This window comes from Homo sapiens, chromosome 9, assembly GCF_000001405.40.
Source record: "Homo sapiens chromosome 9, GRCh38.p14 Primary Assembly".
Classification (NCBI taxonomy): Eukaryota; Metazoa; Chordata; class Mammalia; order Primates; family Hominidae; genus Homo; species Homo sapiens.
Window position 1 is genome coordinate 133,105,435 of NC_000009.12, and position 13,696 is coordinate 133,119,130.

Sequence of the window (13,696 nt, forward strand, 5' to 3'; positions counted from 1 at the left end):
AATCTGCCTCCCAGGTCTGGCCACCTGGCCCCTGGCATCCCCTGCAGCTCCTGTCCCTGGGGTAGGCAGGCTGCCCTCTCCTTGGGTGTGTAGAGCAGACAGAGGTAGCGTCAGGAGCCTGGCCTCCCGGGGACAGACTGGGCCGGTGTGGGGGCAGGAGCCGCATCCCCTTCCCACCCAGCAGGAGGGACCGGCGAGGAAGCCAGAGGCCTGCTGGTCCTGATGCCCATCTACTCCTCCTGGAACCTCCACTGCTACCCTTACTGTGTCCAATTAACTGGGGCCCTGTCCCTCAAACACCCAGGGGCCAAACAGATCCCTCTTCCCCCTTCACGCACACGGGAAAGGAACTTTCCCAGCAAGAAGCGAATGCCACCGCCCGCCGCCCCAGCCCCCGCCCCAGCCCCCGCCCCAGCCCCCGCCCCAGCCCCAGCCCCCGCCCCAGCCCCCGCCCCAGCCCCCGCCCCAGCCCCCGCCCCAGCCTGCCGCCACTCCACCTTGATGAGCAGCTCCCGGCTCAATGAGTAGTTGTTCTCATCTGAGAAGATCTCTGACAGCTTCTGAAAGATCCGGAAACTGTCCCTGTCAGAAGGGCAAAGAAGGAAAGAGAAAGCTGGGAATGGTAGGGAGGGGTGTGAGTGCAAATCCGTTTTATTTTAGAGCTGAAAGACCCCAGACTGCCTGAACGCAGCACACAGGGTACCCCAGAGCACTAACGCTCTGCAGGTCTGGGGAGGGGGCCTTCATGTTGGTGCAACAGGACCCCATTCCCGTTTCCACTGAGCAGCTATTTCCAAAGGGGTTTTTTTCTTTTTTTGGAGACAGTTTCAGTCACCCAGGCTGGAGTGCAGTGGCCAGATGTCGACTCATTGCAACCTCTACCTCCTGGGTCCAAGAAATTCTCCTGCCTCAGCCTCCCAAGTAGCTGGGATTACAGGCGTTAGCCATTGCGCCTGGCACAAAGGTTTTGATTTCAATTGGATGAGGGTTCTGTGGCTACAACACGAATACCTGAAAATCTCTGATGTGGCTCAACCCACCATCTGACAGCTTAGGAAGCCGAGCTCTGAGGCAGAGCTGCTGCCAACTCAGGTCAGTGAAGGGTCCCTGCCCTCAGGGTTTGTGGCCTCCCATGGGCTCACTAAGGGGGTGATGCCAGCCCTGTGGGAGGTCCCTGGTGCACCAGGAGCTCCTACAGAGGCATGCCCACCTGGAAACGTCTTCCCACGTCTTCTTCAGACGGTGGATGGAGTTGCTCTGCAGGGCAGAGAGGATGGCATACAGTGACGAGAAGTTCTTGAGGATCCGGCACTCCTGGGGCGGGAAGAGCAGGAGGCATGAGGTGGGGCTGGAGCTCCCAGCTTGCCTGGCCTCAGTCCCCCTTGGCCAAGCCTCCCCTCCTAATGAGACAGACACCCAGGGAGTCCCCAGAGGGCACGCCTGCGACCCGGGGGTGACAGGAGGATTTTAGCTCAACCCAAGGAAAGAGTGTAAGGAAGACGTGAGCATCCAGGCAGTGGGCTGGGAGAGTCAAGGCCAGCATGCCCCTGGGAAGGGTAGACTGGGGCCTGTACAGGGCCTTGGACTGCAGACCACAACCTGAGAACAGATGAAGCCAAAGTGGGGGCCCAGGCCCCTCCTCTGGCATACCCTGGCCACCTCGATCCAGTGCTCCACCACCCTGGCCCTGTCTGGGGCTTTCGTGCTTCGGTTCCCGAGGCAGGTGGTGATGACACAGTTGGCCACACTGTTGAACTGGGTGACAGTGGCGCGGATGGTGGGCGCCAGGTGCTCCTTGCCCTTCTTGTCCCGCTGGGACCAGATGGAGCCCAGGCAGTGGTAGGGCACCACCTTCTTGAACAGTTCCTGGGGAGGAGGCTAAATGTCACCTGGTCCTGCCCCAGCAGTCTGGGCTGGTGCTGGGGAAGCTGAGGATGCAGCTTGAGCCTTGTGGGGATCTCTGGGTTTTATCCCGTGTCCATGCAGGGTGCCCAGCACACAAGTGACCCGGGACAGAACGCTGGTGGGAAGAAGAGGAGCACCGCCTCGCGCAGCCTCACCAAGCCCCAGCTCCAACAGGCGGCTCACGCCTGCCCACCCCCCATCCCCCCGCCTCAGTCTGCTCCCCATCCAGACGCACATCTGCTGTGGGCGCTACAACTAAGGGCTTTGTCCAGTGTCTGCCATAGGCTCCAGGACACACCAAGTGCCTAATGAGTGCTGAGGCTGGTGAGCCTCCTGAACAGATGGGGGTGACCCATGGATGCACCTTGGTGAGCACCCTCCGCTCCCACAGGCCAGGCCTGCTGAGCTTCCTGTCTGTTCCATCTAGAATCTGCACAGTCACTCTGGAGGATAGGGGTGACCTCATCTCTACTGTCCAGAGGTAAACTGAGGACTTGGGGTTAAGGAACGACCTGGTTACTTGGTGTGTAGCAGCAGAGCTGGGATTTGACCAGAACATCAGCTCTGGATCAGCAAATGGTAGGTCTGGGACAGCAGATGCTGCCAGAAGGCAGGCCCACCCCTGCCCTGCCAAGCTGAGCTGCTCACCGCATCCATCAGTGTAAACTGCTCTGCCACCAGATCTGGAGGGAACACCAAGAGGTGAGGCTTCTCCTCACTCAGCCCGTTCTCTGCAACCACAGGTGAAGGCCAGGAAGGCTGTAATGATGGAACTGGTGCTGGAGCTGGCTCCAGCTCTAGAGTTTGTGAGGGAGCTGGATCCTGTTCTGGAGCTGGCTCTAGTTCCAGAGCTGGCGCTGGAGCCGATTCTAGTCCCACAGCTGGCTCTGGAGCCTGCTGGAGCTCCGGAGCTGGTGCTGGAGCTACTTCTAGCTCTGAACCTGGAGCTGGTGTTGGAGCTGGCTCTGGCTCCGGGGCTGGAGCCGGCACTGGGCTGGGTGCTCGAGCTGGTGTTAGAGCTAGCTCGAGCTCTGGAGTTGGTTTTAGAGCTGGCACTGGTGACAGAGCTGCAAGAGGAGAAAAGTTCAACAACATGCCAGCCTTTCCTGTGCCTTTCCAAAGACACAGAACAGCCCCGGCTTCCAGAGAAGCCTCTCTCCCCGAACCCACAAAACGTGTACCAGGCCACTCTCCTGCCTGTGGTCCCTGCCTGTGTGGTCTGAGGCTCATCTGGGCCCCTGACCCAGCACCAGACCCTGGAGCCTCCTCTTCGTGTGGCCCAGCACCGACCCCTCCTCATTCACCCTCTGGCACCCACCCCAGTCCTCCTCACCCTCAGGCTCTGCCTCAATGGGTTCCGAGTGCTCCAGCTGGGCCAGGAGAAGGTGGGCACGGCGCTCCAGGTCTGAGCCTGGCATGTTGAGCTGCACGTAGGCCACCAGCTGCTTGAGGCAGGGAAAGTCCGGAGGTTGACAGAAATCCTCCGAGTACTGGTCCAGCCAGGTGCCCAGGATGGAGGAGATGGCACTGGGGACAGGTGGGTGGCAGCAGAGTCAGAGGCCTGGGCTCCCCTGAGCCAGGCTGGGCTCCTGAGCCGGCCCCTGTCCATCTGAAGGCCACCTGCCCCGGCCCAAGCCCCCTTGGCTGTCCAGCTAAAAGAACCAAGGAGGCCCCTGGTCAGTGGCGAACACCTCTCCCCTCCTCCAAGGAAGCCCCGCCCACAGCTCTGCATGTCTCCCAGCACCCCCTCCTCGCTGGAATGTAAACTCCATGAGGGATCGGTCCTCCTGCCGGGCATCTGCAGGTCCCTGGCGGCTCCTCAACTTGTAGCTCAGTGCTGGTGAGCTGCCTTACTCTCTCAGAGCTGTGTGTGGGTCTCATCTTCCCACTAATCCTGTTCTCCCAGAGGGTGGGGTGCAGCCTGCCCACTGAGCACTCACTATTGAGGGGTGAGGCAATGTGAGAGCAGAGGCTCACCCCACCTCTTGCCAGGGGCCCCTAGATCAGGGCCCACTGAGCCAAGGCCAGCTGGGATGAGGCTATGGTGGGATGAGTTCCCGCCGGGGGCTGCCCCGAGCCCCAGCCACCCCAGGACCCCTCCACAGCTCTCGGTCGTCTTTCTTCCTGCAGGCGAAGCCCCCAGACCCCAGCCCTCTAGCAGGAACCACAAGAGGTGTGGGAGCCAGGGTTCTGCCCAGCCAGCCCCGGCTCCGGCCCCAGCCCCATGTACTCTCCCACTGTTCGGTGGGGACAGGGTCCCTTCCTCTTGGCTCAAAGCTCACTCACTTTTTAAGTTGGTCCTGGGGTCCACCATCCTCGTCGGAATAGGGGAGGATGCAGCCGTATCTAGAGGAGGCCGTGAGGGCGTCACATCTACCGTACCTGCTTATGACGTCTAGTGTTACTGTCTGACTCTCCGACTAGAACGGAGGCCCAGGAGGGCAGGGATTTTTTTTTTTGCTTTTTTTCATCAAATTATATTAAATGCCTAGAAAAGGGCCAGCACACAGTAGGTGCTTCATATATATTTGTTCAATGAATAAGTCCCAACCAGCTCCTTCCCAGCTATCTGAGCGCCCCTTGGGTCCCTCCAACAGCCCCCAGATAGAATCCGGAATCTCCTTGACAAGTGGGAAAACTGCTTCGCCCAAGGCCACATACAAGAGAGGCTTGGGGCAGAGAGCTTCCCCATGGGGGACAGGAAAATCATAAAAACGAGCACCACAGCCCCGCAGCCCATTCCCTACAGGGCCAGGCGTTGAGGGAGCACTTTCCACGCCTCATCCCGCCCAGGCATGGTGACAACCCCATGAGGTCCTCTTAGCACTCCAGTTTCTCTTTCATATGAGCAAAGCGAGGCTCAGAGAGGTGAATCAGCATTGCCAAGACCCGCAGCCAGGTGGGGGTGGGGGCGAGGGCCCCTGTGCACCCTGTGCAGTGGAGGGCTCATGCTCACCTTTTGAACAGCAGGTCCAGGACCTGTTGGGTGGTGGTGAAGGCTCTATAGGTACACAGGAAGATGGTGACGTAGGAGAGGTCGCTGCCCTGGAAGGCTGGCACCAGGTGCTCCACCAGCTTCTCCAGCGTGCCAGCCTTCACGGTCCGCACCTTGCAAGTCTCATAAAGGTTCAGGGCCGACTCATTCTCATACTGGGGTGGGACAGAGGAGGGACAGACAGTCAGTGGCAGCACACGAATCTCCTGGAGCTCAGATGGAACCCCGAGCCCTCAGCAGCTTGTGGCAAGAGGCAGGACTGAGTATCTCTAGCAGAAAAAGGTTATCAGCTTTAAAAGTAGAATTTCAGGCCAGGTGTGGTGGCTCACATCAGTCATCCCGGCACTTTGGGAGGCCAAGGTGGGAGCATCACTTGAAGCCAAGAGTTTGAGACCAGCCTGGGCAACAAAGTGAAATCCCCCAGCTCTACAAAAAAATTGTTTACAAAACTTAAAAATTAGCCAGGGCCAGGCATAGTAGCTTACGCCTGTCATCCCAGCATTTTGGGAGGCTGAGGTGGGCAAATTGCTTGAGCCCAGGAGTTTGAGACCAGCCTGGGCAACATGGCAAAACCCCATCTCTACAAAAAATACAAAATTAGCCAGGTGTGGTGGTCCCAGCTACCTGGGGAACTGAGGTGAGAAGATCGCTTGAGCCCAGGAGGTCAAGGCTGCTGTGAGCTATGATCATACCTCTGCATGGCAGCCTGGGTGACAGAGTGAGACCCTGTCTCTAAAAGAGTGAAAAAATTTTTAAAGTAGAATTTGAGGTGCGGGAATGATTTAAATACTGACACCTTCAGGTCCGTTGTTAGCTGAGTAATGGTAGCTGCCCTGTGGGAAGAGCGTCATCTGAGAGCTCTAACAAAATATCCCCATTCTAGAGATGAGGAAACAGAGGCTTATCCAGGGGCTGGGAGGGACTGGCCCGTTAGGACGCACAGCATCTTCCCCGTGGCACTGTTTTGTTTTGTTTTGAGACAGTCACCCAGGCTAGAGTGCAGTGGTGTGATCTCGGCTCACTGCAACCTCAGCCTCCTGGGCTGAAGCAATTCTCATGTCTCAGCCTCCCAAGTAGTTGGGATTACAGGCACACACCACCATGCTTGGCTAATTTTTGTATTTTTAGTAGAGATGGGGTTTCACCATGTGGGCCAGGCTGGTCTCAAACTCCTGACCTTAGGCAATCCTCCTGCCTTGGCCTCCCAAAATGCTGGGATTACAGGCATGAGCCACTGCGCCTGGCTCCTGCAGCACTGTTGAAGTGTCCTCAGAGGACTCACAGTGGCCCCACAGTCATGAGGAGCTGAACTGGGGCAGTGGCTCCAGCCTCCCTTCTGGAATATTATGCAGCTGAGTCAGGCCCCGGCTCTCAACCTGGAGGAACCCCAGGGATGTGTTCTGGGAGATGGCAACTTGCAGAGACCTAACAGCCTGAAGCCCTTTTGTCCTTGGGTGAAGACAGCCCCACTACTCCAGATGGTGTGCACATCTGGGAGAAGGCATGGAGGATGGTGAGGCTGATGGCTGCACACCCGGGGAAGGGAGGTCAAACATGAAAACCCGATTAAGCCTGGGCTGGACAGTGGGGGTCGGGAAGGGAGTGAAGGCCGTTTCCTTTGGGATCAGAACTGGGGGCCCTCAAGTGAAAAAGTCCTGGGAGGGATCCCCAGCTGCGTCTCCCAGTGGAGACCCCGAGCGCACTCACCCCGAGCCAGCGCTGCCCCTTGTTGCCTCCGTGGTGCAGCTGCACCTTGCGCAGGGAGATGGAGTAGATGACTCCGTTGATCAGCTCCTCACCGATCTCCTGCGTGGAGCTCTGTGAAGACAACGCCCGGCAGCCGGGCGCGGGGACGTCAAGGGCCTGCCTGGCCACCGTGCAGGGGATGCACCTGTGTAACCTGTTTCCCAGATAGGGCACAGACTGGCGGCTGCACAGACCTACAGCCTGGGGTGGAATGAGATCACAGCTCGAGAGCCACTGTCCCGGCACTCCACTTCCCCAACCCGGCCAGCCACGACCTGGGACGTGATTATGATGAGTCCACCAGGCTTCCAATCCCCTAGTAACTGGCTTCTGCTCCTGCCCAGGACAGACCCACCCTCAAGCCATCCCCTTCCACACAGGGGACTGTTATTCAGCCATTGCACAGATGGGTAAATGGAGGCTGAGAGAGGAACAACTGGTCCAAGGTCATGCTGCCTCGGGTAAGTGGTGAGGCAGGGACCCCAGGGCTCTGACACGGCTGACTGCATCCAGGCGGCTATGCCCCAAGAGAAGGTCCCCCTACCTCCCCAGGGCCAGAGGCCCATGGGCATCCTCACACTCACCCCTCCTCTACCCAGCCTGGGGGGCCCTGGCTGACCTAGCAGGAACGCACAGCTCCTCTGGGCCCAGCCCTGGTGCGTTGGCAGCCCAGGTCTGGGCAGGTGTGGGGCACCCCAGACAGCCACATCCCAGCCACTTCCTTCCCCTCTGCTCATTCATGCCCTCGTGCCTGCTTGGGCAATGGGAGTTCCCAGTTCCCTGACCATCATCACGTGAGGGGACGGGTGTGAGAGGTGACGGTGCTGGTATCCAGGCAGATGCTGGGGTTCCACAGAGCCCTAAACCACAGGCCTAGACTGGAACAGGAAGGGGGCATCTGGCCCCAGGCAGTAAGGAAAGGCCGTTGTCTTAGGAGACAGACTTCCCCCACCTGGCAGGCTGGCCTAGGTCACTTAGCCACAATTACCCCCGGCCTCACAGCCCCCTATGCCACCTGCTCTGTCCAGGGACGGAATGAGCTTGCAGCGGGTAGAGGAGCCGGGGGGTTAAGGACATCAACCTCAGAGGTTAGGAAGGAGCTAAGAGGTACTGGCCTGGCCCAGGGTCATTAACCGCCCAGTCAGTGCCCCAGCCCAGGTAGGCGTGGAGCTCAGAGAAGGCCTGGCAGACAGTGCTGACTCAGGCCCTTCCCTCAACCCCAGCAGGAGCCAGGTAGACTGTCCAGCATGCTGTGGACGGGACCCTGGCCTCCTGCCTCCTGCGCACCCTCAGAGGCCCAGGAGCCATCCTGGAAGTCCACTTCCTCCGACCTGAGGTCGCCTCCCACGCTGGGCTTTGTACAACAGGAAAGCTGCGGGCATTGTGCCGGGCTCCTGACCGCCACCGCCTCTGGACAGAGAGCCAGCCCCATTTCTTGGAAGTTAGCAGGGAACCCACAGGCACACTCACACCCACACCCCACAAACAGCCCCGCCAGGGGAGGTCTGGCCCTTCCACTGACAGGAAAAGAGACATACGCTCACCCCCCTTTTCCTGACTCACACATCTCTCCCCTGCCTAGAAAGTTGTTCCTTTGAAAAGAAAAGCATTAGAGGTTACAGCGACCAGGGCCCCCAACCACCCGGGCCTCCTCAGGGGTCCCAGACTGCCTCCTGTGAAGGCCGTTGGCTCAGCTGGGAGTCTCTCTCTCTCCCAGGGATTTTAGCCACATCTGGACCAGCTGGGAGGCAGACAGTATCCTGAGTGTCCAAGTCACCGGCAGTGGCTCTGAGATCTCGTGCAGGACAAGCCCGCCACAGGGGACTAAACATTAACCCTGGGGGAGCCCAGCACAGCACCCAGGTCCTGGCTGAGCACCATCAGTGCCTGCTGGACAGAGGTGTCCCCAGGCAGGCCAATCCCCAGGAGGGGCTGAAGCCAGGTGGCCTCGGCTGTCCCTGAGCAGGTCTAGAGAGCGGCTCCTCCGTGAGCTGGCAGGCCAGCAGCTGGCCCAGCCCTGCTTGGTGTCATGTGATCCCTGCACCCTTCCCCCACCCCCGGGGGGCCCTCTTCTGCCAGCCGGGTGGTGGGGAAGGATGCAGGCCCAACACTGAGAGCCATGCATGCTTGGGGTAAGGGAGTTGCCACCCTGTCACACAGTCGGGGAGACGCTCTAGCCCGCGTGGAGCTGGCCTGTCTTCTCTGGTCGCTTCCCGTCACAGCAGCAGCAGGCATGGAACCAGACCATAGAGCTACGTGGAGTACAGGGGCTGTTTAAACCATCTGCTCAGATGGTGGAGGTGCAGGCTCCAGAGAGAGCTGCCCTGGGGTCTGGGAACAAAGTGGCAGAGTAAGGCCTCTATCCCTTGCCCCCTCACAGGACAGAGAAAGAAAGCAGCCAACAGCCCTGGCAGCTGCCCCAGAACCCTCTGCAGCAAGAAAGGCAGGGTTCCAGCACCCACAGGCCACCCTAGGTCACTCTGTTAGCAGACAGCCCATCTGGGCAGCGCCTGGGCCCCAGGGCACTCTGGCCGGGCTGGGAGCTCAGAGCGGGAGGAGCAGGAACGGCCTAGTGAACAGCTGATGCAGAGAAAACGCTTTCCCCTGAGGGCAGGTGCCCAGGCAGCCGCTATGAGCTGACTGCTAGGAGGAGAAAAGAACACCACGTGCTTGGCTGTGTCCTCAAGGGACACTCCTGTCCCACCCCTAGCAGGCATGCTGATGTCCCTGGGCTCTGGGACCCAGTCGGCAGCTGTGCCTGTAAACACACTGTCTGGCCTTCTAACATTTGGGTCAGTGCAGTGAGGGTGGCATGGGGTCCCCGGTGAGCAGGGGCCCCCACACCCCAATGTCTCCAGGGACACAGCCCAGAGCCCTGAAGATGAGGATGGGAAACAGGGCCTGGTGGTGTCTGGTGAGTGTGTCACCTGATCAGCCTTCTCAGAGTGACAGGCCAGCAGGATGCCGTGTCCCTGGCTGACAGAAGGAGGAAGCCACAGGCCAAACCCAGACTCCCTCTGGGTAGAATAGTGAGGGTCTTGAGGAACCCTACGGGGCCTGCCCCAGCCCTGCCATCTCCCCGCTCAGGCCAACGGCACCTCCTCCCAGCATCAGCCTTCTGGTGCAGCTCCGGACTCAGACGCCTTTCCTTGGAAACCGTAGCTAGTGGCCCCCTGCCCCATGGATGGCTCCAGGAACTCACCGGCCCCTCCCAAGGAGACCTGGCTGAGGGCTGAAGCGGAGTGAGGAGAGGGCTCTAGCCTGCACCTCGGCCTGCTCCGCCCCTGGTCCTCCCCGGGCCTGTGTGTGGAAAGGCTCACGGCAGAGCCTCCGTGTGCGTGAGATTGTCCTGGGGGACCTCCCAAGCCCCTCTGAGCTGCTGCTCAGGTCCCAGTCACCAGAGGTCACCCCGGGGTGCTTGCCACCCCCCTGCCAGCACCTCACAGTTCTGGCCCACCAGACAGCAGCTCCCTGTCTCTCGCTGGCTCTGCCCAGCCCCTGGCCCTCGGCCTTGGTGTGTCATCTGGGGAGGGCAGCACTACCTGTCACAGGCAACAGTGGGGGTCAAGAGAGAATGCACACAGCTCGGTGACCGGCACTGGGACCTGATGGCGTGGTACCGGACAACACCTGACATCATATCCCCCTGGGGCCGGCGACGGATGCTGGGCTGTAAAAACCTGAGGGAAACTTGTCTGAGGCCTGCCTAAGGCTCAGGGACCTAGCCGAGGGACACTGTAAAGAGAGGCTGAGTCACCCTGAAACCCAGTGGGTGGGAGCAGCTTTCTGACTTCAGCTTTCCGCTCCAATACAGAAGCCAAACGTAAAACGCATCACAGAAGGCTGCTCGCTCTCTACAGAGCCCAGGCTCCTGCGACAGTGCGGGGCCCACGCTGCTGTGCCCTTCTCCGTCCTACAGAGGTGGGGACCCATGCCCGAGGACAGGAGCCGGTGGGGCGTGTGCTGGCTGAGCCAGAGGTGAGAGCCCAGGACTTCTCAAGTCATGAGCTCGGACCATGAGCCCCATCAAGGGAGGTGGAACGCAAGGGCCTCGTGTCCGTGTCCGTGACCCTCCTGCCCTCGGGCCTGCCCTCCAGCTCCAGGTGGGTGGACCCAACCCTGATCCCCAGCGCACAGACAAAGCATCAAGATGACAGGAGGCCAGCCCGGGGTGTGGGTGGGCCACACTCCTGATCCTGGGCATGGCAGCCCACAGAGGCGGCCTCAGACCGGGACGACACGCGGTGCCTGCCCACCAGGATGCTCCCTGGCCTCAGAAAGTGGAGGCTGGGAACCAACCAGTGCTGAGCCCCGCAAAGGCCGGCCCATCTCTCCAGAAACCCTCCCTGCCGGCCTGTGCCCTGCTACTCACTGATGGGAAAATCGTGCCTCAAGCAGGAGGAGGGAGAACCAGACCTCCAGGTCAGCCGCAAGCCTTGGGCATCCAGGGTCCCTGTCCACGCCCAGCCCCTGACAGTCAGGTGAACACAGGGCCAGGCCCGGGAGGGGCGTGGCTGGTGGCAGCTGAGGAGGAAGGTGGGCTGGTCCCAAGGGGGTGCAGGGCAGCCCCAACTTTAACCAGCTACAGTGCCCAGCACATGCGGGCACTTCCTGGGTGCAAGGCCCTTTGGACACCCATCACGTTTAATCCTCCTAACGCCCTGCCTGATGGACAAGGAAACAGCCTGAGAGGAACTCGCCCAGGTCAGGAGCCAGGACGTGGCAGCCAGAACAGGGATTTGAACCCTGGCCTGTTGGGACCCACCCAGGCCTGGCGCTGCCTCTGCCATGGTCTCAGGCTTGGAGCAGAGTCCAGCCCCTTGTGGCACAGATGTGGAGGAGGGGCCAGAGACAGGAAGGATTTCCTCAGGTCACACAGCAAATTCGCAGGGGAGGGTGGCAGGGCCAGCTTTCTAGCACCTGCATCTCCGAGAGGTTTGTGGACGTGCCCTGGGCAAAAGGCCTACAAGACACCAGGCCAGGGAAGTGCCATGCTGAAGGTGCCAGGTGACGCACCCGAGGAGCCCAGGGCACTTGGAAGGGTCAGGCCGCTCCCCTGGCACCTAATCAGAAAACCTCATTGTGGCAGCTGCTACCTGTCCACTGTGCCAAGTGCTGTGCAGGCTGCTCCTCAGGTCTCTTGTCTAACTCGAGGGTCCTCACCAGAACCCTAACAGGAGAGCTGGCATCATGTCCATTTTACAGATGAGGAAACTGAGGCTCAGGAGCACGTCTACATCTGCTAGGGGGCTGAGCTGGCATCCCAGCATAGCTCTCTTCTCTCCAGAGCCCAGGCTCCCTGCCCCTCGGTTGAGATGGACAAAAGTCTCCAGGAATGACTACAGGGGAGGCTGCCAAAGCATGCAAGCTTCCCCATGGAGGAAAACGCCAAAACCCTCCAACGCAGGTGTCCTGCCCCGCCCGCCAAGCCACTGTTGGGCTGCCATCCCACTGCCTCCCCCGCCCGTGGGCAGCCAAGGTGTGCGGAACTGGGAGAATTGGGTCTGCTCAAAGCTCAGCTTGTCCTGCATGAGGCTGCATGCATCAGTGTCTGCCCCTTAACAATCAAATGGGGAACACTGCTCTGCTGTTGCTGTATATCTGGGAACACAGTGATTCTGGGCCTGCAAGGCTGGAAGTCCAACCCTGGGACTGGGTGGCCACAGCATGGTGGCACCACGCCATGGGAGCCATCTGGGCGGCCAACCAGCAGCTCTTGGGAACCAGTCCTTGACTGCCTGGGTGCAGCTTCCTGAAACCGCTCCACTGGCTCGTTCAGAGCCTGCCTGCAGAGGGCCAGTGATAAATCTCCCCACTCTTTTCTCATTGGCAACGCAGACAGGTCCTGGAAATGCCCAATTTCCAGGTTAAGAATCAGACCCCAGCTCTGGCAACGAGCAGCTTGATATCTCCCAGGGCCATTCCTGAGCCTCCCGGGAAACAGGCCAGCATGCCTGAGCATCCCCCGCCTGGAGAAGGAACAAAGACCCAGGACCAGCCAGCCTGGTCCCCCTCTTCTGGGGGACCCTCCCGAGTAGAGCAAGAGGGGAACCTGAGGGTCCTGGGGGCTGCCCCTTCAGAGTCACCCAGGAAGCTCTCCTGGAAGACCACAGTCTGTACACATGCATGCAGGGACACACACCCACACAGGGACAGGCCCTTTGCCTTGGGGTCTTCAGTGTCAAAGTGCTCATGAGCCCTGGGGATTAAACCGAAGACCTGCACACAGTGTGATCAAGAGATCAAACAGTGGGAAGACGCGGGAGGCTGAAGGGAGATGCTCCCTGTGAATACAGAGAAGCCCTCTTCACTCCAGCCCACCTGCAACTGCCCTCAGGCCTTGGGTCAGAATCCTGGCCCTGCCACTGACCAGCTTGGTCACTCTGTGCAATCTAATTCACCTCTGTTGCCTCAGTGACTTTATCTGTCAAGTGAGCTCTTAACAGTCTTGACCCCAAAAGGAGATGATGCAAATTACTTAGCCAAGGACCTCCCCAAAACCTGCTGGCTCTTATTAGCTGTTATCTTAAACCTGTGGGGTCCAGTTCTGGGCTTGCTTCCTCCAGGTAGCTCTCCCCAGCGTCCTGTGGCCCAAAGCACTTTTGCCTTCCTCTGAGCCATAAGCTTCCCTACTGCTCACCTGACCTCAGGGCTTCTGGGCTGCCTGGGCTTCCTCTGACTCCTGGTGGCTCCTGCACACAGTAGGTGCCACAGAGAACACAGCCCATGCTTAAATCCTGGCTGCGGCCCTTGCTGGCTGCACGGGTGTTTAGGTCAGAGACTTCCCTTCTCTGACCCCCTAGCTTCCTAGAAGGTGGTGTTGGCACCTACTCTGTAGGGTTGGTCTAAGGCAGATGAAGTGAGGGGGTGGCCCACAACCTGCACTTTTTGTCTGGCCAAAGCAACAGCCTGTCCAGAGATGGGGGCACGGACCAGGTCACCTCCAGAAAGCAAGAACTGTGCAGGCCAAGCTGGGTCATTGGTGGCTTGGCTTAGAATCGGGAAGATAAGCGGAAGCCCAGATGTGAGGAGATCTGGCAGCCCAGAGGG

General features: G+C 59.8%; 1 protein-coding gene across 5 annotated transcripts in view, besides 1 other annotated feature; it reads right to left on the reverse strand.

The window, feature by feature from the left end:
- RALGDS (ral guanine nucleotide dissociation stimulator) overlaps positions 1–13,696 on the reverse strand; it is a 51,489-nt gene that overhangs the window by 7,713 nt on the left and 30,080 nt on the right. For 3 of the 5 annotated variants that reach the window (NM_001042368.3, NM_001271775.2, NM_006266.4), the window contains exons 2-9: positions 6,608–6,718; positions 4,862–5,055; positions 4,192–4,287; positions 3,239–3,432; positions 2,554–2,972; positions 1,651–1,866; positions 1,211–1,314; positions 498–582 (exon numbers count right to left, since the gene is read on the reverse strand). In NM_001042368.3, coding sequence (NP_001035827.1) covers positions 498–582; positions 1,211–1,314; positions 1,651–1,866; positions 2,554–2,972; positions 3,239–3,432; positions 4,192–4,287; positions 4,862–5,055; positions 6,608–6,718 — 1,419 coding nt within the window. The remainder of the gene's footprint in view (positions 1–497; positions 583–1,210; positions 1,315–1,650; positions 1,867–2,553; positions 2,973–3,238; positions 3,433–4,191; positions 4,288–4,861; positions 5,056–6,607; positions 6,719–13,696) is intronic. The other 2 variants (NM_001271774.2, NM_001271776.2) reach the window with 1 other exon arrangement.
- Positions 10,071–10,360: an enhancer, noted in NCBI's record as "active region_29228". NCBI's record gives its function as "activates an Ori minimal core promoter by ATAC-STARR-seq in GM12878 lymphoblastoid cells {active_cell/tissue: GM12878}" and the evidence as "EXISTENCE:reporter gene assay evidence [ECO:0000049][PMID:35858748]".